The following is a 25,803-nucleotide window of genomic DNA, read 5'->3' as shown; positions in this document are numbered from 1 at the left end:
ACCTGACCCCCATGACTGTATCTCTCTGATCCATCTGACATTCACCCCATTTCCCCAAATTTCCTTCTTTCCTCTTCCTCACCCTGATCACGCTTGATTTATTGTTGGCGGTTCCACCAGGCCTAATCACCACACACCAGCAAAGGCAGGTTATGCTATAGTACAAGCCACTAGCCTGCCTCTTAGAACCTCTCATTTCCTTTCCATCGTGGAAATCGATCCTCAAGGAAATAACTTCTCAGTGTTCCATCTGCTATTCTAGTACTCCTCAGGGATTATTCAGGCCCCCTTCCTTCCCTACACACCAAGCTCAAGGATTTGCCCCACCCAGGACTGGCAAATTAGCTTTACTCAACATGCCCTGAGTCAGATAACTAAAATACCTCTTAGTCTAGGTAGATACTTTCACTGGATAGGTAGAGGCCTTTCCTACAGGGTCTGAGAAGGCCACCGCAGTCATTTCTTCCCTTCTGTCAGACATAATTCCTCAGTTTAGCCTTCCCACCTCAATACAGTCTGATAACAGACAAGCATTTATTAGTCAAATCAGCCAAGCAGTTTTTCAGGCTCTTAGTATTCAGTGAAACCTTTATGTCCCTTATGGTCCTCTGTCTTCAAGAAAAGTAGAATGGACTAAAGGTCTTTTAAAAACACACTCAGCCACCAACTTAAAAAGGACTGGACAATACTTTTACCACTTTCCCTTCTCAGAATTCAGGCCTGTCCTCGGAATGCTGCAGGGTACAGCGCATTTGAGCTCCTGTATAGACACTCCTTTTTATTAGGCCCCAGTCTCATTCCAGACACCAGACCAACTTACACTGTGCCGCAAAAAACTTGTCATCCCTACTATCTTCTGTCTAGTCATACTCCTATTCACCATTCTCAACTACTCATACATGCCCTGCTCTTGTTTACACTGCCGGTTTACACTGTTTTTCCATGCCATCACAGCTGATATCTCCTGGTGCTATCCCCAAACTGCCACTCTTAACTCTTGAAGTAAATAAATAATCTTTGCTGGCAGGACTATGCTGAATCTCCTTAGGCACTCTCTAATCAGATATCCTGAGTCGTCCCAATTCTTAGACCTTTTATACCTGTTTTTCTCCTTCCTTTATTCCATTTAGTTTCTCAATTCATCCAAATCCATATCTAGGCCATCACCAATCATTCTATATGACAAATGTTTCTTCTAACATCCCCACAATATCACCCCTTACCACAAGGCCTCCCTTCAGCTTAATCTCTCCCACTCTAGGTTCCCACGTCACCCCTAATCCCGCTTGAAGCAGCCCTGAGAAACATCGCCCATTCTCTCTCCATACCACCACCCAAAAATTTTTGCCGCCCCAACACTTCAACACTATTTTGTTTTATTTTTCTTATTAATGTAAGAAGGCAGGAATGTCAGGCCTCTGAGCCCAAGCCAAGCCATGGCATCCCCTGTGATTTGCACATGTACGCCCAGATGGCCTGAAGTAACTGAAGAATCACAAAAGAAGTGAATATGCCCTGCCCCACCTTAACTGATGACATTCCACCACAAAAGAAGTGTAAATGGCCAGTCCTTGCCTTAAGTGATGACATTACCTTGTGAAAGTCCTTTTCCTGGCTCATCCTGGCTCAAAAAGCACCCCCACTGAGCACCTTGCGACCCCCACTGCTGCCTGCCAGAGAACAACCCCCCTTTGACTGTAATTTTCCTTTACCTACCCAAATCCTATAAAACGGCCCCACCCCTATCTCCCTTCACTGACTCTCTTTTCGGACTCAGTCCGCCTGCACCCGGGTGAAATAAACAGCCATGTTGCTCACACAAAGCCTGTTTGGTGGTCTGTTCACACGGACGTGCATGAAATTTACCACTTGTGCAAACCCACTTAGTAGAAGCCCTAGAAACACTCCTGCACTACTTTCATAATCCTCCCTCCCCCAACAGCTCCTGCTTTACATATACTTTAGAGTTTCTGAATTCAGGATACATGTCACTACTGGTAATAGTAGTTGTAATGGTAGACTCAAGGAAATACAGTAGCTCAACCTGCATAAAACTGGAGGACAGACTGTCTCCAAGGCTGGGAATAGCTAAATAGCTAAAAAGGTGATATAAACATAGTCCATAAAAAATAGCTCGCTTAGCAATGGAACCCAGAAAGAGAGGGTTAAGAGAAAACACGCAGGAGCAACATGTGTGTGCAAGTCAGAAATCACAGATCTGAGGGTTATAAGCTTTTTTGTCACCACAGAGAAGTGTGCTGTTGTTTTATCAACTTTGACCAGGTACGTTTTATCAACCTTGACCACTTGAATGAATTATGCATTTAGATGTGCCACTTCTTTTGGCTTTAACTGAATAGTCACCAGGCAATCTTCTCATTAAAGTGTTTCCTTCCCAGGTGCTTTGACATCAAGAGGAAGGGAATCTGAACTCGAGATGTGTGCATGACTTGCACTCAGTAGAAAGTACTAAGGTGGCATTTGGGCTCATATATCCATCCCAAGTAATATTAGTATACTAAAAGTTGGGGTACTGAATGAATGCTGGGTATAGATATAAGACCCAGTCTCTCTCCCTGCTAGGATAAAGCCCACATCCTAAGTATAAAAAAATTTAACAAAGTAGTGATACCCTGACAACTATCTTTATAGATAAAGACTTCCTTCCATACTGCTGCCTTCAACTCCTGCACCTAGACTACATTAGGATGTCTCTGCAGACACACACTACTAAAAAGAAAACACAGGACCTTTACCATTTAAACACGCAGAAAGGCTGTTACCTACTTTATGAAGATATGTCCAATTCAGCAAGTGTAGTGATCACAGATTTTTAGAACGTGGTTACTGTGGAAGCCCTAGTAAGTTACCTAGTGGTAACTTATTTGCATTTAAGTGGGACCACAAGGAGGCTGAGACCACATTCCTGAATTTTTATTTTCCTATTTCCAGCAATGAAAAAGGGGGAATTAAAAAAATACAAATGATTAATTAAAATTCTGCTGATTTTCCTGAATACAATATGACTAAATATTTTATATTAACTATAAATATTCACTTTTATATACCAATGGTGTATTTTAAAAAGCTGCTATTAATTTAACATTTATCACATGCTAGACAATTTAACATTTATCACAAGCTAGACAGTGTGTTAAGGATATCTCAATTAGGACAATGATTCTCTGAGGTATTTATTATGATCTCTATTTTACCAGAACAAAACAGAAACTTGAACAGGTTGAATAATTTTCCCAAGAGCACCCAGCAGGTAAACTTTGGAAATAAAATTTAAATCCAAGTGTGCTTTAGAAAGCCTATGCTCACAGTTTGATTTTCTACTAATCTTACAAACAGTTTTCCTTAGTCTAAGAAAGAAAAAAAAGAACAGGTTAGTAACAATGATCCTAGAAAAACTACGCAGACACAAACAGAGAAGTGAAGTCTTGAATTTTATTTAATCTCCATTACAGTGTACTCATTTCTATCATTAGAAATTGATTCCCAAAACACTGCTGCAATCCTACAACTCATGCTCAAAAACTTAAATTGCTCAACATTCTCCATGGCATAATATTCAGATCTCTTGCTGTGACATTTAAGACCATGACTGTTTAAATACCCCCTCTCCCTCTACACTCCAGCCATTTCAGGGCCTTAGTTGTATTGTGGATGCCTTTTCCCTTGTGGGCTTCACATCTGTTACTCTCTCATCCTGGAATGTTCTTTGACTACCATTTCTACTTATAAAATCCAGTTGTCTAATAAATTATCCCTTGATCATCCAAATATAAAGATCATCCTTAACATAGCACACTTTGGTTTCATAATTGCAGCTTCTATCATTCTACCTTTTGTTCTTAGAGATTATTTATATATCTTATACCCAAATTAGAACAGAGTCCATATATTTCTACCCTCCATCTCCATCTACAGCAACCACAATGCTTTATGCTTAGAACGCATAACCAAATATTTGTTAAATTGAATTAATTAGAATTTACATTAAAATACTGCTTGTTTTGCACTATTTTAAAAACACTAATATTCATGACAGTGTAATGCATTGTTTTGTAAAATCACTAAATTACTATTGCTAACAAATACTCTACAATTTATAAAGATCTTTCAAATATATATATTGTCTTAGATTATTGCAAGAAGCCCTGTTTATGGTTAGTAAAAACCTCATTATTATCTCCATTTTTCAGATGAGGGATCAGAACTAAAATTAATTATTTAGCTGTTTCTAACATCTGCAGAAGACTTATTATGGCAACCAAAATGCAAAGTACATATGTGAATTATATTATTCCCTGAAAGCTTGAGATGGAAAACAGAGGTGTTTCTTACAGGTGCTACATATGCTCATTTATGAACATCCTAAATTGGAAACTAATTATTTTCAAGCCTGTGTATTTGGAGGAGAAATTCACAGGCAACAGCGTTGGAATAAATCTTCCCAGTGGTCAATCATTTTATCTTATTCTATTTCACAACCTGGTTCTGTGTGGATCAATGACATTAGGGATAATGAGCAGCATTTTTTTTTTTAAAGTTTGAGAATAAATAATGGATCTGAGTTAGTGACATCACCTTATCTGGCTATGGCTAGAAACTTTCTCTGGCTATAAACACATGTAAAAATAGAAATTGATGCTGTTGTATTATAATGTAATAAAATACATTATATAATTTACCTAGCATTTACAGAATGATGTATCTTTCCCTCACAAGCAAAATTTCCATAGAATTCCTCTTCCTTTTTAATTGATTTGGTTGAAATGCATTTATACATTTATGCTCATTTTAATTTTTAAACTACATCTTATGGGTGCATTTAACTTTTTCAAATTGACCTGGAGTCATTATTATTCACATCAGTGATTGATTGTGCTGAGTCATAGCATGGTCGTGTCCTATGTGATAACTGAAGCACGCAGCCACTCTTACATGGTCACTTCCCATCGCTGACTTCTGAGTTCCTCTGTTTCTTCCCTTGCTGCCAAACTGTTAGCTCTAACTTCCTTCGACCTTCAATATCACTTAATTAGAAGCATCCTGATATGCCATATCCCAGATCAGTTCATTTGAAGAAAACCATCATGTGAATGCATTGAGTACTAGGAAATGGGCATATGCAGATGATGAAGATATGCCTTTTATGAGCTTACAGTCCAGAGGAGACGCATAAGTGGAGTCAGACAGTTTTAAAATAAAAGTGCTTTGCTGAAGGTATACAACAAGAAATCCTCAGTGGCATGGGGGTTCAGAGAATTACTCTCAGAAAAGTTAGCGGCTGATCTGAGCCTTGATGTGGATAGGAACTAGCCAGATGAAAGGTAGCTAGTGGGATAGAAGATAGGAAAGGTAAATTCTGTGAAGCCTGAAGTAGCATGGTATGCACACAGAACAACAAACTTCTCAGTATTACTAAAGCCCATTTAGGCAGCAAATGGTAGGACTTGAGACTTAAGAGTTACAAAGGTAGCTGTGGATTATATGCTGTCTTTGACTTTACCCATGGGCAAATGAAGCCTCTGATGGGATTTAAACAGGGATGCATCACAGAGTAAGGAAACTAGTTCAGACAGAAAGATTTGGAGCCAGAGACATGGTGGCTTCTCCAATATTTTTTGAATGATTGCATGGATTTCTTTAAAAAGTGGATGGGGTTCAGTAGATGATGAGATGATATATCAGGAAGGTCAGGTTTAAGCTGGCATACTTTTTTTGCAGGAGAGACACCTGAGGATATGTACTGTCCACATGTCCAGCACGCAGCCAGATACCCTGTTTCTAATCATCTATAGAATGGGAAACCACAACTAAGGGAACCATGCAGCTTCTAACTTTGCCCATTAAGATCACCAGAGAAGGTTTAAGAGTTCTGATACCTAGACCTTTCCCTGAATATGTTAAATTAGATAACCTAGAGCTGGGACCAGTATTAATTAAAGTTCTCCAAGTGATCCCAGTGTTCAGCCGTGGTCAAGTACCAGGCACTAAAGTACCAGACTCAGATGTGGGCCTAATAAAGAGTTTTCTTTCCAGTAAAGTATATCGACTTTGAGATTGTACTTCCCTTTGCCTGTTTATTTTGACACAGGCACCTCTTAAAGGGACATCTCTACTGGTGCTTCCTCTGAAAAGCCTTCTCTGAGAGGTTTTAGAAGCTATTCCATTCCTCTCTAATAGTACTTTCATGTTTACTGTGAGCTTGGTGGAGAGATTTGTCCTCTCTAATAGCACTTTCATGTTTACTGTGAGCTTGGTGGAGAGATTTGTGAATCCAAAAAAGAAGTCAAACAAGATGAAACAACTATAATGGAAAGAAATTCATTTGTGAACATTTAAATGTAAGTGGAAAAGAGAGACTGTGTGTTTATGTCAAAGAATGGAATGACTTTTCTATTTTGGAATAATGATGCACTAAGCTTTCTGATTTCACCGAGGAATAGCAAAGAGCAGAACATAATATGCAAGAATAGGAAAGTCCAGCCCGCTCTATTAGCAGCCCAGTAGAAAACTAGAAGCACCACCTTGGGTCACAGCACAACACTATTTTGTCAGGCTCCTTAAGTGACCTATTTTTAATGTCATTTACAATTTAGAAGAGTCATGGTTTCAAATCACCATCCTTGCAAATAGCAAGGGTCTTTTGTGAAATAGTATTTTTTTAAACCTGGAATTTCACTGTACAGAGAGCCCCAAGACAAGACTGATTAAGTCTGGAAGGTTTTTCAAATGTTTGGCCCATATTTCAACATTATTGTTCATTTCTAAGATGTTCTTACCAAGCACAGTAAAATTATATTACACTAATATTCCACAATCATGGACACTATGTGTGTTACATATAATGAAAGAAAACGGTGTCTGTACAGTTCAAAATATCAAAACCAATTCCAAGTAGGTTCTTAAAATTTGCTGAAGCAAACGCACCTTAGGGTAAAAATAAACTAGGTATTGGAACAGGTACACTTAGGATCTGTTTAACACCAGCATGAGGTTACAAGCAGCCCAAAGTAAACCTTAGGCACATGTTATACAGAACAATGAGATATAACCTTTTCCTTCCTTCCCAGAACTTATGCTTGAGGGGATACACTGAAGTGGAGATGATAATAAAAGAGTATTTTACAGAAATAGTATATCTCCAGAGGAGAATGAGCAAGAACAAAAGACTAACAGAAAAGTAATTGACTGGCTTAACTTTGCACATAGTACACAAGAGGGACACACACATAAATCTTGTTGGAAGTTAAAGGCACTCAGGCTTGCAGGGTTCTGTCCTCAAAATGCGTGCAGTGATCATAATAGAATGTGCAGATAGGAGCTGTACACATCTGAAAAGTAGAAAACTAAAAAGCATATAGGACTCTATAATAACACAAAAACTTAAACTATAGTCTGTTCGACCTGGGTGCCCTGTAGAGAATCTCCTATTGTGAGGGCAGGAATAGTAACCCTTGAAAAAAAAATACAAACTATGTGGCTACATTTTTCAGTAATAAAATATAGACGGGCTGGGCGCAGTGGCTCATGCCTGTAATCCCAGAACTTTGAGAGGCCAAGGTGGGTGGATCATTTGAGGTCAGGAGTTCGAGACCAGCCTGGCCAACATGGTGAAACCCCACGTCTACTGAAAATACAAAAATTAGCTGGGCGTGGTGGCAGGCACCTGCAGTCCCAGCTACTCTGGTGGCTGAGGCAGGAGAATCACTTGAATCCAGGAGGTGGAGGTTGAAATGAGCCAAGATTGCACCACTGCACTCCAGCCTGGGCAACAAAGCGAGACTCTGTCTCAAATAAATAATAATAATAATAATAATAAAGATAGAACAGCCTGGGCTTCAATAAAAGTTCCAATTTAGTTAATCCATTATTTATTTTTTGCTTTATATTAAACCATTTTAATTAACCAGACTAAGGGACACATTTTCCAAAGCAGCAAGTCACTGTCATAGACTGTCATTGCAAAGGCTGACTGAATTATTACCTCCTTATCCCATGCTCACCATTGTTTATGTGTGTCTACTTGGACAAAGTGAAGTGGAAAATAGATGTAATTCTCTGGATTGTTTAAGAAACTTGTTCACATCTTGGCTTGTATATTAGAAACAAAAAGTGTTGTGTATAAAAGTATATATCCCAGGCCTCATGGTGAGTGATTCTGAAGCAGCAACATCTGCTATCTACACATTCATTTACTGGAATACAAGCCTTTTGCAATATAAGATCCGTGCCAATTAATGGAAAAAGAAAACACACACACTCACCCTCATCCACCACCCTCCACCCATACACATATCACGACCCTCTGAACTGAGTTTTGCAAAACTCCTTCACTGGATTTTTGTGGTTGCTGTTGTCGCTATCCATCAGGCTTGCACCCAGGTTAGGTAACAAGTACACTTGAGTGATTATCTAGTGACCTAGAGGCACAGAGCCAGCCAATGGGAAAAACGCAGACCATATGAGTTGCTTTCTTTTTCAAGTGCAGTTCCCATGGATTGAGTTATAGGTTACATGTCTTCTCTTATACAACCTCTTCTGGGCAGACACAGTCACAAAACAATTTTTTAAATTGAGATATAATTCATATATCACGAAATTCGCCTCTTTTTATTGTTTTTTTGACGGAGTCTTACTCTGTCGCCCAGGCTGGAGTGCAGTGGCGAGCGATCTCGGCTCATTGCAAGCTCCACCTCCCGGGTTCACGCCATTCTCCTGCCTCAGCCTCTCCAGTAGCTGGGACTACAGATGCTCACCACCACGCCCAGCTAATTTTTGTATTTTTAGTAGAGGCAGGGTTTCCCCGTGTTAGCCAGGATGGTCTTGATCTCCTGAGTTGGTGATCCGCGTGCCTCGGCCTCCCAAAGTGTTGGGATTACAGGCGTGAGCCACCGTGCCTGGCCGAAATTCACCCTTTTAAATGCACAAGATTTTTAGTATCTTAACAGAGTTGTGTATCCATCACCACTCTCTAATTTAAGAATCTTTTCATCACCCCTAAAAGGAACTCCATACCAATTAGTAATCACTCCCCATTCTGCCTTTCCTCAGTTTTGGGCAACAAATAATGTATTTCCTGTCTCTAGGGAATTGCTCATTTTGGGACATCTCTTATAAATGGAATCATACAACACATGGTCTTTTGTGTTTGGTATCTTTCACTTGGCATAATGTTTCTCAAAGTTCATTCACACTGTAGCTCAAATCAGTACTTCTTTTTAAGTCAGGTAGACAGAAGCATATGCAAAGAAGTGTAATTTAGTTAATTACTTCCATGCCTCTCACTATTTTGTTTTGTTTAGTCCAACACATTTCTCAATTATCAAACATTATAATCTACTCCATATTCCTTTTTCTTTTAGAACATTATCCCTAACCCATTCCAGGTAATATATTTTAATAAATCCCCACGGTATTTTTTCATAGATAAAAATAAGTCTAAAATGTTTATAATAAAAAACACCCTCTTTTAGCTTTCTGTATATGGCTAGCCAGTTTTCACAACACCATTTATTAAATAGGGAATCCTGTCCCCATTGCTTGTTTTTGTCAGGTTTGTCACAGATCAGATGGTTGTAGATGTGTGGCATTATTTCTGAGGCCTCTGTTCTGTTCCATTGGTCTATATATCTGTTTTGGTACCAGTATCATGCTGTTTTGGCTACTGTAGCCTTGTAGTATAGTTTGAAGTCAGGTAGCATGATGCCTCCAGCTTTGTTCTTTTTGCTTAGGATTGACTTAGCTAAATTTAAAGTAGTTTTTTCCAAACTACTTTAAAGTTCATATGGAATCAAAAAAGAGCCCGCATTGCCAATACAATCCTAAGCTGGAGGCATCACTCTACCTGACTTCAAACTATACTACAAGTCTACAGTAACCAAAACAGCATGGTACTGGTACTAAAACAGAGATATAGACCAATGGAACAGAACAGAGACCTCAGAAATAACAGCACACATCTACAACCATCTGACCTTTGACAAACCTGACAAAGACAAGAAATGGGGAAAGGAACCTCTATTTAATAAATGGTGCTGGGAAAACTGGCTAGCCATATGGAGAAAGCTGAAACTGGATCCCTTCCTTATACCTTATACAAAAATTAATTCAAGATGGATTAAAGACTTAAATGTTAGACCTAAAGCCATAAAAACCCTAGAAGAAAACCAAGGCAATACCATTCAGGACATAGGCATGGGCAAGGACTTCATGACTAAAACACCAAAAACAATGAAAACAAAAGCCACAATTGACAAATGGGATCTAATTAAACTAAAGAGCTTCTGCACAGCAAAAGAAACTACCATCAGAATGAACAGGCAACCTACAGAATGGGAGAAAATTTTTGCAATCTACCCATCTGACAAAGGGCTAATATCCAGAATCTACAAAGAACTTAAACAAATTTACAAGAAAAAAACAACCCCATCAAAAAGTGGGCAAACGATATGAATGGACACTTCTCAAAAGAAGACATTTATGCAGCCAACAGACACATGAAAAAATGCTCATCATCACTGGTCATCAGAGAAATGGAAATCAAAACCACAATGAGATACCATCTCACACCAGTTAGAATGGCGATCATTAAAAAGTCCGGAAACAAGAGATGTTGGAGAGGATGTGGAGAAATAGGAATGCTTTTACACTGTTGGTGGGATTGTAAACTAGTTCAACCATTGTGGAAGACAGTGTGGCAATTCCTCAAGGATCTAGAACTAGAAATACCATTTGACCCAGCGATCTCATTACTAGGTATATAACCAAAGGATTATAAATCATGCTACTATAAAGACACATGCACACGTATGTTTATTGCAGCACTATTCACAATAGCAAAGACTTGGAACCAACCCAAATGTCCATCAATGATAGACTGGACTAAGAAAATGTGGTACATATACACCATGGAATACTATGCAGCCATAAAAAAGGATGAGTTCATGTCCTTTGTAGGGACATGGATGAAGCTGGAAACCATCATTCTCAGCAAACTATTGCAAGGACAGAAAACCAAACACTGCATGTTCTCACTCATAGGTGGCAATTGAACAATGAGAACACTTGGACACAGGGCAGGGAACATCAGACACTGGGGCCTGTCGTGGGGTGGGGGAATGGGGGAGGGATAGCATTAGGAGAAATACCTAATGTAAATGATGAGTTAATGAATGCAGCAAACCAACACGGCACATGTATACACATGTTAAAAACCTGCACGTTGTGCACATGTACCCTAGAACTTAAAGTATAATAATAAAAAAAAGAATAAAAAAAAAAGTTAAATAAATAAATAAATGAATAAATAAATAAGTAAAGTAGTTTTTTCCAATTCTGTGAAGAAAGTTAATGGTAGCTTGATGGCACTGAATCTGTAAATTACTTTGGACAGCACAGCCATTTCATGATATTGATTCTTCCTATCCAAGAGCATGGAATGTTTTTCCATTTGTTTGTATCCTCTCTTATTTCCTTGAGCAGTGGTTTGGATCCCTTCCTCACACCTTATACAAAAATCAACTCAAGATGGATTAAAGACTTAAACATAAGACCTAAAACCATAAAAACCCTAGAAGAAAACCTAGGCAATACCATTCAGGACACAGGCATGGGCAAAGACTTCATGACTAAACCACCAAAAGCAATGACAACAAAAGCTAAAATAGACAAATGGGATTTAATTAAGCTAAAGAGCTTCTGCACAGCAAAAGAAACTATCATTAGAGTAAATAGGCAACCTCCAGAATGCGAGAAAATTTTTGCAATCTATCCATCTAACAAAGGGCTAATATCCAGAATCTACAAAGAACTTAAACAAATTTATAAGGAAAAAACAACCCCATCAAAAAGTGAGCGAAGGATATGAACAGACACTTCTCAAAAGAAGACATTTATGCAGCCAACAGACACATGAAAAAATGCTCGCCATCACTGGCCATCAGAGAAATGCAAATCAAAACCACAATGAGATACCATCTCATACCAGTTAGAATAGTGATCATTAAAAAGTCAGGAAACAACAGGTGCTGGAGAGGATGTGGAGAAACAGGAACACTTTTACACTGTTGGTGGGACTGTAAACTAATTCAACCATTGTGGAAGAGAGTGTGGCGATTCCTCAAGGATCTAGAACTAGAAATACCATTTGACCCAGCAATCCCATTACTGGGTATACACCCAAAGGATTATAAATCATTCTACTATAAAGACAAATGCACATGTATGTTTGTTGTGGCACTGTTCACAATAGCAAAGACTTGGAACCAACCCAAATGCCCATCTATGATAGACTGGATAAAGAAAATGTGGCACATTTACACCATGGAATACTATGCAGCCATAAAAAAGGATGAGTTCATGTCCTTTGCAGGGACATGGATGAAGCTGGAAACCATCATTCTCAGCAAACTAACACAAGACAGAAAACCAAACACCACATGTTCTCACTCATAAGTGGGAGTTGAACAATGAGAACACTTGGACACAGGAAAGGAAACATCACACACCAGGACCTGTCGGGGTGTGGGGGGCTAGGGTCAGGATTGCATTAGGAGAAATACCCAATGTAGATGACGGGTTGATGGGTACAGCAAACCACCTTGGCACGTGTATACCTATGTAATAAACCTGCATGTTCTGCACATGTACCCCAGAACTTAAAGTATAATTAAAAAAACACCCTCACCTATTACGACCAAAAGTTCTGCATTTTTATAGTAATAATGAATGTTTTTCTGCTGTGGATTCTACATTTCCATATTCCTAAATAACATGATTTTGCTATTTCCTGATTTTTACTTTTATTTTCATTTCTGTACTTTGTATATGTCATGCTCCATACAAACCCAAATACCCCTCTTTCTCTTGTCCACTGCCAACATTTTGGATTATTATTCTTTTTCTAATTTTGTAGGAGAAAAATATTATTTTCAGATGAGCTATACCATACACTATTGTACAACTTAGAGTATGTTCAGATATTCTTTCATATTATTCTGCCTATTCCCATGTGTACTAGGAACCATAGCCAGAACACTTGAAATACTTAAAGAATAAAAAAGGTAACTATATAATAATATAAAACCATAATGTTGAGACTGGATTTGTCATATAACAATTGTTGAATGTTAAATTTTAACTTTAAGTAATATAAATTTCATCAGAAATTAGAGTACCAAATCTGCAACACTGTAAATGTAAATATTTGAAACATTTTTCATTGATCAATAATGAAGTAAAAAATTAAACTCCTATCGCAATACAGAGGCTCTGTGACTTACGATGGGGTTATGTCCCAAGAAACCCAACAAAAGTTGAAAATTGAGTAAGTCAAAATGTATTTAATACACCTAACCTACCAAGCATCATAACTTAGCCTAGTCTACTTTGAATGTTATCAGAACACTTATATTAGCTTGCAGTTGGACAAATTCATCGGGCAGCACAGTACACTGTAGAGTATCAGTCATTTACCCTAATGGCTGACTTGGAGCTGCACTGCTACTCAGAGTCTTGAGAGAGTATCTTATCACCTTCTACTGAATGCATATTGCTTTCACACCATTGTAAAGTTGAAAAATTATAAGTTGAACAATGAGGACTGTCTGCATAGCAAATTATATGACAAGTTACGTTTAGTGCAGTTTTAACTATAAATAAGGAAGATAATATAAGAAACAACATGGATATGGCAATAAGAAAAAGCAGTGTCACTTTCCCACTTTTTCCTAGTCTTGACTCTTATCCTGTCACAATCAAAATGAAATGTAAATAATAATTCATTAGGTTACATTGTAGAATCTGGCTATATACTTGAATAATTACCTGGAGAGTCTCTTTATTTTTTCATCGTCAACAACATCAACATCATCATCATCACAAAAAATTTCATGCAATTTGGGTAATTCAAATGATGCATATTATATGAAACATAAAGTTGAAATTAGGTATCCATGCATCCATCCACCTGCCTACTGTCTACCACACACACATAGAAATAAACACATATGTAATTTTTTCAAACACAAATGGAAATATACTTTATATACTGGTCTGAAGTTGCTCTTGTTCACTTAATAGTAATGTTGAACATCTTCCCATATCAGCAGCACATAGAGATCTACCTTATTTCTTACTGTCTTTAATGATTACATATTTACTATCCTATTCATTCAAAAGATATTTTCTGAGAATCCAGCATGTGCCTGGCACTAAACCAGATACCTTTGAATGGCCCAAGACTCTACCTCACACCCCATGTGGCCTCCCTCCTGCTTAAAATCCATCCATAACTCCACCAACCAGAGAATAAAATCCAAAAGCAACATATCATACATGGCTGCCTTTATAATTCTCAAGCCTCAAGTGCCACACTTCCTTACCTTAAACCTCTGCTCTAGTAACACTGAATGACTTGTTCCTCCCTGCACAGTCTGGCAGTTGAGAATTTGTAGATCATTCTGATGAACAGCTTAGTTTTTGGGACATCAGCCTATAAAACATGTTCTGAGTGTTGCTTGTAAGTTTGTTACAGGTAGTTAGACAGGCATGAGTGGGGCAGGAGAGGTCTCACCCCCACCCACTAGGAATGTCAGGTGACAGTTTGGCAACTATCACATTGCCTCTCTAAAAGTGATAAATTGGCAGCAGGCACCAGGGAGAGGCCATTTCCTGGTGGTCCACACCTGTTGCATTAAAATGCTAATTGAATGCAGGAACAAGGGAGAAGCAAAAAGGAACTTCCAATAAAATCTCAGGTACTGGGTGAGTGAGCCGGGGCACGTGCAGTAAGAGACAAAGTGGCTGACTATGACCTTCCAGGGGCACTCCACCAGAAAGGGGAAGAAAGCCCCAGATGGGCATTGTACAACTTCCTAAACACATTGCATGTGCTCACCTCCCAAGCATTAAGAGGGCATTGCACAGGTGGGCAGCCCACCCTAAGGGAAGAATCATGGGAAAGGGGCCAGCCCATAAAGTCCTAGGATCAAGGTTAAACACCACTCTTGACCTTCATGTGCCCACTTGGGTTTCTTCCAAGTGTACTTTCCTTTCTTTCCTGTTCTAAAGCCTTTTAAATAAACTTCCACTCCTTCTCTGAAACTTGCCTTCGTTTCTTTTTCTGCCTTATGCCCCTCCATCGAATTCTTTCTTCTGAGGAGGCAAGAATTGAGGTTACTATAGACTCTTATGGAGTTGCTGGCAGTAACTTGGATACCTTCCACTGGTAAAATGTTTACTTATCATTCAGTCAACAAATACTTTTGACATGCTCTGTGGAGGGCTAGAGATCCACAGATGAAAAAGACTCAGTTCCTGTGTTGAAGGGAGATTTAATCTACTGGAGAGACAGTTAAGAAACACCAAGAAATAAGAACAATATAAAATAGTTTTGGAGATTTACTATAAGCCAAGCAGTCTGATTTTTATATGTATGGTCTCATTTACCCTCATATGACTCTAATGAGTAAATTTTATTATCTTAATTTTACAGAAGATTAAAAAAACTCAGAAACTGAAGCAAAGAAAGGTCAAGCAACCCACTAATAAAATAAAATATATTAAAATATATTTCAGTGAGTAAATACAATATATTAAGATTATTATTTTCTTTAATTTCCAACTTTCCTATCTTCATTGTTTGCCTTTGTCCTCAGAGACTCTGAACTCCAGATCCTCTGAAATACAAGTAACAAGAATTTAAAGCTCAACCCCTGCCTAAGGCTATTCAGCTCAGAGGATTTTATCTTACTTGGGGGCCTAGAGAACTCTCCAAACTCAAAAACTGTCAGTCCCCAGACAAAAAGACCTCCAATCCCAGCAAGCAACTTTAAGCAATCTGAGGAAGTTAAACCCATTTTGGTAATTTTATGGCTAAGAGTATAAGCTAAAACAGCTCTTCCTATTCTTTCTCCCAAATAAAATACTTCCATGGGAGCTGAATTTGCCTTCTTTATAAATGACTGAGCATATCAATATCTCATGGACACAGAGTATAAAATATCCTCATTAACACAATCTTAAATTCTCCTCAACTTGGCTAGATTTTAGACAGGTTTCTTCCTCACTACAGGCCCTGGAGTGCCCTCTTCTTGGAAAAGTTACTTTCAAAAACTTGGAACTATAAATCTTTCTCTACCCCTTTGAGATGTAAATCTTCCTCCAGCCTGTAACCAGTTTTACAACCCAGGAATTTCTTTCTCAAAAACCTGTGAGTCTTCCCTTTGAAACATAATCATCAAGAAGGATAATGACACCATCTCCTAGTCTCTGTAAGAGGGTAGGATCCTGCTATAGTTTGGATGTTTGTCCCTCACAAACCTCGTGGTGAAATTTGATCCCCAATGTTGAAAATTCAGCATAATGGGAGGTGTTTGGGTCATGGGGGCAAATCCCTCATGAATAGATTAATGCCTTCCCTCCGTGGGGTGACTGAGTTCCCACTCCATTAGTTCTTAGGAAAGCTGGTTGTTATATAGAGCCTGGTACCTCCCCCTACGCCTTTGCACAAGCAGCTCCTCTTAACTTTTTCACCATGAGAAGCAGGATGAGGCCCTCACCAGATGTCAATATCCAATCTTGCATTCTCCAGCTGTCCAGAATCATAAGAAAAATGAACCCTTTTCTTCATAAATTATCCAAGCGCAAGTGTTCCTTTTTAGCAACACGAAGCAGACAAAGACAGATCCTAACTTTCATAAGCACCAATTAGCAAACACAGTTGGCCTAATCACATTGACCAAATTCCCCTCTAATGTCTTCCAGTACTTTTTCACTAGCTCACTCCAGGGCTTAAAAACCCTACCACCTTTTGTTTCAATGGAGTTGAATTCAATGTATCTTCCCTATTGTAGAGGTCTTGAATTAAAGTCCTCTTGACCTGTTTTACTCTGCTCGGTACAATTATTCTTTGATATCAGTAAACACAAGATCATAAATAGAGATATTAGCCACCTCATTCCCAGAAGGATATGAAAGAAACTAGGTTACATTTTATAAAATGAAAAGATCCTGTGTTGTTTTGGGGTTTGTTGTTTGTTCATTTGTTTGACTGTTTTGGTTACAGAGCTAATCTGGTACAAGAATCATATGATTCCTCAAAAGAGGCAGTATAATGTATTTCCTTTTAAAATATAATCTACAACATCTATGTGGATGTTGTAGAACAGGAAACTAATTTGTATCTTGGTGTATAAAAATGGACATAAAAAACCTATTCAACAAACTAAATCCATCTTACAAATAAATAGTCATGGTGTCCATGAACATGCTTATCTTTTAAATATTAAGAGTACACAGTTTTATTTTATAAAATGCTTTCAAAATGCAAAATGAATAAAGACAGTTTCTTGCCCATTCATTAAATCATTCCTATCAAGGTGAAGAGACAAAATTTGGCTCAACACCACATTTTATGAGCTGTTAATAGGTTTCTGGAACTCATGATTTAGTCATTTTACCCTGCAAAATACTAAATCTTTTAGAAAGCATGCTGTAAGTCACCCCTGAGTTGATCTCTACTGAACTTGAAATGACAACTGTGGATGGCCAAAAAATACTGCGTAATTAGGCAAATCGATGCTTACACTGGAATATTAATGTGAGTGTCTCCAGCCCAGAAAATAGGAGAAAAGTGCAATTGTAGTTTATAGGGTTGTTCAAAGATAGTTTCCTCAGCTTCTTAATGCTAATATTACAATATATGAATAAGATCTTTATAAAACTGAGAAGTTCTGATTTCATGCAATTATGGAAAAAGATAAATTACAACAGGGGTCTTGTAAAGTTTCCTGAAATTGTGCCACTTTCCATTGTCTAGAATCCCGGGAAACATCTTAGGTATTGTGGCATCACACTCCACATGGTTATCTCCACTCCTCTGCAGCCCAGACCTCCAGACTCATATTCAATGGCCTAATTAACTGCACCATTTGGATAATTACTAGGCATTTTGCAAGTATCATATCTAAACTTTTTATCTATATCCCATCAAATTCTACTTCTGCTCCTATCTTCCCCTCCTCAGTAATGGTACCTACCATCTACCTCAAAACCTTGGAATCACCAAGGTACCTACCATCTACCTTGGAATCACCAGTGGTACCTACTATCTACCCAAAACCTTGGAATCGCCCCAGAATCTTCTTTCCCTGGCATCTCACTAGCAAGACTTGTCAGTACCACTTTAAAACTATGTCTCTAATCCAACCACTCCTCATCATAATGCACCTGTTCAAGCCATGACACTGTCTGGTTTGACTTCTGCATTAATTTTGATTTCTCCATGCTCCCTTTTCAGCAGTCTTAAATACAGTAAAATCTCCATAATGCAATGAGAAGATTTACAACTCAAACCAGAGAACTGCATTTCCCTGCTCAAATTTTTCCATGTTTCCTCCATGACACAGAACAAAAGCCAAAGCACTTAGCATGCTACCTTCAAAATTTGTATCTCTCTTTTGTTTTTCTTTTTCTTAAAATACATTTTAATCTCTTAATACTCAAGCCTTCACTCCCTCTTTTTCAGTCACTATAACCTTCTTTTTGTTCCTCAGACAAACCACACTTCTTACTTAGGGAATTTACATGTCTTTTTGTCTACTATGCTCTCTCTCCAAATTTGTCACCTGGCTACCTCTGGGAATTAATTCAAGTGTCTGCTCAAAAAATAACCCTTTAGGAAGGACTGACCGCCCTAGTTAATATACCCTCCTCCCTTTCCTTCTTCTCTTCATCTCTTTGTTCTGTATTTTACCTTGTTCTGTTATTGCTGTGTTTTTAAAAAATTTTTATTATATAGCATTTATAAATATGCTTATTTTCTATCTCTTTCCACCAGAATGTAAATACTATAAAATCAAGGACTCTCTTTTTTTCACTGTTGCATCCTCAGAGCCTAGCAAGGTGTCTGGCACATAATAAAGGATTTAGAAAATATTTGTAAGTGACTACATTATTTCCACATTTCATAAATCCTAAAAGAGACATTACCTTTCTTTATAAAGCAGCTGTTTCCCCAATAACCACATTATGCCTGTCGTTCTTTCACTTTTCTAAATTAAAGACTTTAGAATGATGGAATTATTGATATAGTTTGGCTCTGTGTCCCCACTTGAATCTCATCTCAAATTGTAATCCCCACATGTCATGGGAGTGATCTGGTGGGAGGTGACTGGATCATGGGGGCAGTTTCCCTAATGCTGTTCTCAAGATAATGAGTGAGTTCTAACAAGATCCGATGGTTTAAAACTGTTTGGCAGATTCCCCATTGTCCTCTCTCTCCTGCTGCCATATAAAAAACGTCTTGATTCCTCTTTGCCTTCTGCCATAATTGTAAGTTTCCTGAGGTTTCCCCAGTCATGTGGAACTGTGAGTCAATTAAACTCTTTTGTTTATAAATTACCCACTCTTAGGTAGTATCCTTATAGCAATGTGAGAATGGAATAATACAGAAAATTGGTACTGACAGAGTAGGGTACTGCTATAAAGATGCCTAAAAATGTGAAAGTGACTTTGGAACTAAGTAATCCGCAGAGGCTGGAACAGTTTGGAAGGCTCAGAAGACAAGAAGATGAAGGACAGTTTGGAATTTTCTAGACATTTGTTTAATGGTTTTGACCAAAATGCTGATAGTGATATGAACAATGAAGTCCAGGCTGAGGTGGTCTCAGATGGAGATGAGAAACTTATTGGGAACTGAAGCATAACCCTTGCTATGCTTTAGCAAAGACACTGGCAGCATTTCGCCCCTGCCCTAAAGATCCGTTGAACTTTGAACTTGAGAGAGATAATTTAGCGTATCTGGCAGAAGAGATTCCTAAGCAGCAAAGCATTCAGTATATAACCTGGATGATTCTGAAAGCTTTTAGTCATATGCATTTACAAAGAGATAATTTGAAATTGGAACTTATGTTTAAAAGGAAAGCAAAGCATAAAGGTTTGAAAAATTTGCATCCTGACCATGTAATAGAAAAGAAAAACCTATTTTCTGCGGAGAAATTCAAGCCAGCTGCAGAAATTTACATAAGTAATGAGGAGCCAAATGTTAATAGCCAAGACAATGGAAAAAAATGTCTCCAGGGCATGTCAGAGATCTTTGCAGCAGCCCCTGCCATCACAGGTCTGGAGATCTAGATGGGAAAAATGGTTTTGTGGGCCTGGCCCAAGACCCTGCTTCTCTGTGCAGCCTTGGGACATGGTGCGCTGTGTCCCAGCTGCTCCAAATCTAGCCATGGCTAAAAGGGGCCAATTTACAGCTCAGGCTATTGCTTTAGAGGGTTCAAGCCCCAAACCGTGGCAGCTTCCACATGGTGTTGTGTCTATGGGTAGGCAGGAGACAAAAGTTTAGCTTTGGGAGCCTCAGCCTATATTTCAGAGGATGTATGGAAATGCCTGGATGTCCAGGCAGAAGTCTGCTGCAGGGACAGAGCCCTCGTGGAGAACCTATACTAGGGCAATGCAGAAGGGAAATGTAGGACTGGAGCCCCCACACAGAGTCCCCATTGGGGCACTGCCTAGAAGAGCTGTGAGAAGGTTACCATCCTCCAGACCCCAAAATGGTAGATTTACTAACAGCTTGCACTATGCACTTGGAAAAGCCACAGGCACTCTATGCCAGCCCATTAAATCAGCTGTGGGGGCTGTACCCTGAAGAGCCACAGAGGCAGAGCTGCCTCAGGCCTTGGGAACCTATGCCTTGCATCAGTGTGCCCTGAATGTGAGACATGGAGTCAAAGGAGATTATTTTGGAGCTTTAAGATTTAATGAATGCCCTGCCAGCTTTCAGACTTACATGGGGCCTGTGGCCCCTTTGTTTTGGCCAATTTCTCCCATTTGGAACAGAAACATTTATCCAATGCCTGTACCCCCATTATATCTTGGGAGTAACTAGCTTGTTTTTTATTTTACAGGCTCTTAGTTAGAAGGGACTTGCCTTATCTCAGATGATACTTCAAACTTGGACATTTGAGTTAACGCTGGAAAGAGTTAAGACTTTGGGGTACTGTTGGAAAGGCATGATTAATTTTGAAATGTGTAAAGGAAATGAGATTTGTGAGGGACCAGGGGCAGAATGATATGGTTTGGCTCTGTGTCCCCACCCAAATATCACCTTGAATTGTAATTCCCAAGTGTTGAGGACAAGACCTGATGGGGGTGATTGGATCATGGAGGCTGTTTCCGCCATGGTGTTATCATGATAGGGATAGTGCATGAGTTCTCATGGGATCTGATGGTTTCAAAGTGTTTGGCTCTTCCCCCATGCCTTCTCTCTCTCTCCTGCCACCATATAATATGTACCTTGCTTCCCCTTCACTTTCTGCCATGATTGTAAGTTTCTTGAGGCCTCCCTAGCCATATGAAACCATGAGTCGATTAAACCTCTTTTATTTATAAATTACCCAGTCTCAGGTAGTTTCTTTATAGCAATGTGCAAGTAGACTAACACAATAATCTTTGAAATACCTCTTCTTCTTGAAACTAGTCCCCTCATACTTCAATCCTGTCCTTTCCTTTTTCTTTCCCACTCCTGACACCAAGTTTAGTAATGCATTATTTCAGAGTATTCTATCTGGATTCCTCTCTTCCTTAGAAAATTGGGAGTAACTAAGGAAAAAGCAGGAAATGTGGCAGTCAGCTAAATATAAGGGCAGTGAGTCCAGGAAAAGGAATGAGCACCCAAGATAGAGTGCACAAAATCAAGGAGAGAAAGCCTTGCATGATACCCACAGAGGTGAGTAAAGAGGAAAGAGAAAAGTGAGTGATATCAAGAACAGACTTGAGAAAATAGCATCCTTCATACTGCTGCCATAGCTATCTTACTAACATACAGGTTGATCAGCCACTGCTATTTCTAAAATTCATCAAGGGGTCCCCACTTCAAACACACATTAAAGTCAAAATTTCTTTGAATCAAGGCCTGCAATTACATTTCCCACTGCCTCTCTACACATGTCCTGTGCTCAAAGCAAATCAGACTCCCCAGTTTTCTCGAACATAAGCTCATGCTACTACCTTTGCTTATGCTGTACCTATAGTTTAGGACTGTCCCCTAATACTCAACTAGAAGAGTTCCACCCATTCAAGAGACAGCAAAAATACTACCTCCTCCTCCTCACTTTATTTTCCCAGTCACAGTGCATTCCCAACAACCTCCCAACCATCTTTCTTTTTTTTTTTTTTGAGACGGAGTCTCGCTCTGTCACCCAGGCTGGAGTGCAGTGGCACAATCTCAGCTCACTGCAAGCTCCGCCTCCCAGGTTCACACCATTCTCCTGCCGCAGCCTCCCGAGTAGCTGGTACTACAGGTGTCCACCACCACGCCTGGCAAATTTTTTTGTATTTTTAGTAGAGACGGGGTTTCACCGTGTTAGCCAGGATGGACACGATCTCCTGACCTCGTGATCTTCCTGCCTTGGCTTCCCAAAGTGCTGGGATTACAGGCGTGAGCCACCGCACCCGGCCCTCCCAACCATCTTTCTTGAAGCACTGGTTAACCTTTATCACACCCTGCTTTACATTAGAATTATACGTATGCAGCCTGAGTTTACTATTTTATTAGACTACAACATTCCTAAGGGCAAGGACCATACTCACTCAAATAGCTCTAATACTGAATGTGACATTGGAGAATTTATTTTTTCTGAACTCCAGTTTCTTTGCTTTATAAATGGAAGTAATAATACTAGTATAATAATTACCACATGGTATTGACATAGTATGCGGTGAATATAATCACATCTCACACATGGTATTCTGTGAAAATGAGTTCATTTGTCTAAGACATTTAGAACAGTACTTGATCCATAATATATATCCCATAGGAATTAACTATCAATAATAATATTATTATTACTAATTATACCTCCTCATCTCTCTATCTAGGATTTAGCTGGTGCTCAATATTGCATTTTAAAAAGGCAAATAAGCCAGATGCCTGTAATCCCAGTACTTTGGGAGGCAGAGGTGGGTAAATCACTTGAGGTCAGGAGTTTGAGACCAGCCTGGCCAACATGGTGAAACCCTGTATTTACTAAAAATAAAAAAATTAGCTGGGCGCGGCTGGGCGCGGTGGCTCACGCCTGTAATCCCAGCACTTTGGGAGGCTGAGGCGGGTAGATCACGAGGTCAGGAGATCGAGACCATTCTGGCTAACACGGTGAAACCCTGTCTCTACTAAAAATACAAAAAAATTAGCCAGGAGTGGTGGTGGGCACCTGTAGTCCCAGCTACTCAGGAGGCTGAGGCAGGAGAATGGCTTGAACCCGGGAGGTGGAGGTTGCAGTGAGCTGAGATTGTGCCACTTTACTCCAGCCTGGGCACTACAGTCAGACCCTGTCTCAAAAAAAAAAAAAAGGCAAATAAATCCTTCAAAAAGAACATGGAAAAAAACAAAACTGTGCAATAGTCCAAGTGAAACAGAAAATGTGCAAAGGGAGAGTAAAAATAGAATATCACTAAACTAGACAACTATGTGGAATTTCATAAAATGGGGAGCACAGTGAAGAGTGAAAGAGAGGTGTATTAGTCAATTTTCATGCTGCTGATAAAGACATACCCAAGACTGAGCAATTTACAAAAGAAAAGAGGTTTATTGGACTTACAGTTCCACATGGCCGGGAGGAAGGTAAAAGGCAAGGAGGAGCAAGTCAAGTCTTACATGGATGGCAGCAGGCAAAGAGAGAGGGCTTGTGCAGAGAATCTCCCATTTTTACAACCATCAGATATCATGAGATCCATTCACTATCACGAGAACAGCATAAGACCTGCCCCCATGATTCAATCATCTCCCACTGAGTCCCTCCCACAACACAAGAGAATTACGGGAGTGACAAAATGCAATTTGGGTGGGGACACAGAGCCAAACCATATCAAGAGGTGACTAGAAATGGAGGCAATGTTAAAAATCTGCTCTGTCAACCAGTTTGGCATTGATGGGAAGAAGTAAGATTGGGAATTACAAGTGGTAACAAATCAGATGAGGAGTACACATTTGTTCTATTTTAAGAAACTGTTTCCAGGAGAAGCAAAGGAGCACTTGAAAAGGATGAACTTGGTGATGCAAGCAGGGTATATGTTGGGGGAAATAAATGTGGTCTTGAGGCTCTAGATAGGACCAAAAAAAGGAGGCGGAGGGGAGAAAGGAAGTTATTTTGCCATTGGAAAAAGGAGAAACCTTTTGTAGAATTATGCATGTCTGCTTTTTCAGTCATCCTTCTGACCACTGACACATATTTTTGGGAAGTTAAATAGTTGAAGAAGGCCATAACAGCACATGTAGGCTTTTGGCAAAACAACAGGTTTATTAATACCAGCTGATCTATGCAGCCTAGAACTATGTAGCATAAAAAAATGAATTCTAAAAATAAAGCCTGGATGTTCCTCTGAAGGCAGAAACTTAAAGGGAAAAAAGTTCTGTGTGAAATTTTCCTTCAGGCTGTTTGGCCTACCTAACCAGGTCTATCTACCAACAATTAATAAACATAAGCTAATCACACCACATTCTGCTCTGGGTACTTGGCATTCTGAAATTAAATGGCTGCTTCTTACTTGCTATGATAGAGCTAAGAGAACTGTCCAACACTGACAGAACAGATTTTCATGCTTGAATCAAGTAAAGGAGATATGGAACATTTGGGTTACTAAATACCTCCAGAAGGGATGAACAAAATGACAAAGTCTCTAGAAGTCAGAGAAGCTTGCTTCAGCACCACAATCACAAGGTTTGGCTTTTTCTTTCTGGAGTACTCATTATTGCTGTGCTCTTATGAGTATTCTGAAGTTTGTCCCTAAAATCAGGCTAACAACATTGGTTGCAAGTCTTAACAGATAATGGGAGGCCATCTTCATCATAAAGAATAGGAATTCGCAACATTTTCTTTTTAACCAATGTCACAAGTGGGGAGTGGGAAGGCCGTCGGTTTATCTGGATTATTTGAGGTCTTCCATCTGCTTCTGCAGGTTCTTTTTTTAAATAATTTTAACTTTTATTTTACATTCAGGGTGTTCATGTGCAGGTTTGTTACATGGGTGTATTACATGACACTGAAGTTTGAAATATGAAAGATCCTATCACCCAGATGATGAGTATAGTACTCAGCAGTTAGTTTTTCAACACCCCTGGTTTAAGTAATGATTAGTGATCTTGAGCATTTTTTATATGCGTATTGGCTGCATGCATGTTTTCTTTTGAAAAGTGTCTGTTTATATCCTTTGTTTTCTTTTGAGAAGTGTCTGTTTATGTCCTTTGCCCACTTTTTAATGTGATTGTTTGTTGTTTTTGCTTATAAAGTTCCTTACAGATTCTGGAAATTAGACATTTGTCAGATGCATAGTTTGCAAGTATTTTCTCCTACTCTGTAAGCTGTGTGTTTACTCTGTTGATAGTCTATTTTGCTGTGGAGAAGCTGTTTAGTTTAATTAGATACCAGTTGCCAATTTTTGATTTTTTTGCAATTGCTTTTTGTGTCTTTGTCATGAAATCTTTGCCCATTCTTTTGTCCAGAATGCTACTTCCTAGGTTATCTTCCATGAGTTTTATAGTTTTAGGTTTTACATTTAACTTTTTAATCAATCTTGAGTTGATTTTTGATATAAGATGGAAGCTAGAGGTCCAGTTTCAATCTTCCATATATGGCTAGCCAGTTATCCCAGCACCATTTATTGAATAGGGAGTCCTTTCCCCATTGCTTGTTTTCATCATCTCAGTCAAACATCAGATGGTTGTAGGTGTGCAACATTACTTCTGTGCTGTCTACTCTGTTCCACTGTTCTATTTATTTGTTTATG

General features: G+C 39.0%; 1 protein-coding gene across 5 annotated transcripts in view, besides 2 other annotated features; it reads right to left on the bottom strand.

The window, feature by feature from the left end:
• Positions 1-25,803, bottom strand: part of PRKG1 (protein kinase cGMP-dependent 1) — a 1,307,463-nt gene that overhangs the window by 262,735 nt on the left and 1,018,925 nt on the right. The gene's annotated exons all lie outside the window — the stretch shown is intronic.
• Positions 964-1,658: an enhancer, noted in NCBI's record as "OCT4-NANOG-H3K27ac hESC enhancer chr10:53793718-53794412 (GRCh37/hg19 assembly coordinates)". NCBI's record gives its function as "activates a minimal SCP1, AML or CMV promoter by ChIP-STARR-seq in naive and primed H9 embryonic stem cells {active_cell/tissue: H9 hESC(naive and primed)}" and the evidence as "EXISTENCE:reporter gene assay evidence [ECO:0000049][PMID:30033119]".
• Positions 1,659-2,354: an enhancer, noted in NCBI's record as "OCT4-NANOG-H3K27ac hESC enhancer chr10:53793022-53793717 (GRCh37/hg19 assembly coordinates)". NCBI's record gives its function as "activates a minimal SCP1, AML or CMV promoter by ChIP-STARR-seq in naive H9 embryonic stem cells {active_cell/tissue: H9 hESC(naive)}" and the evidence as "EXISTENCE:reporter gene assay evidence [ECO:0000049][PMID:30033119]".

The sequence above is a fragment of the Homo sapiens genome, chromosome 10, assembly GCF_000001405.40.
Source record: "Homo sapiens chromosome 10, GRCh38.p14 Primary Assembly".
Lineage (NCBI taxonomy): Eukaryota > Metazoa > Chordata > Mammalia > Primates > Hominidae > Homo > Homo sapiens.
This window is presented reverse-complemented; position numbering and strand designations above follow the sequence as displayed.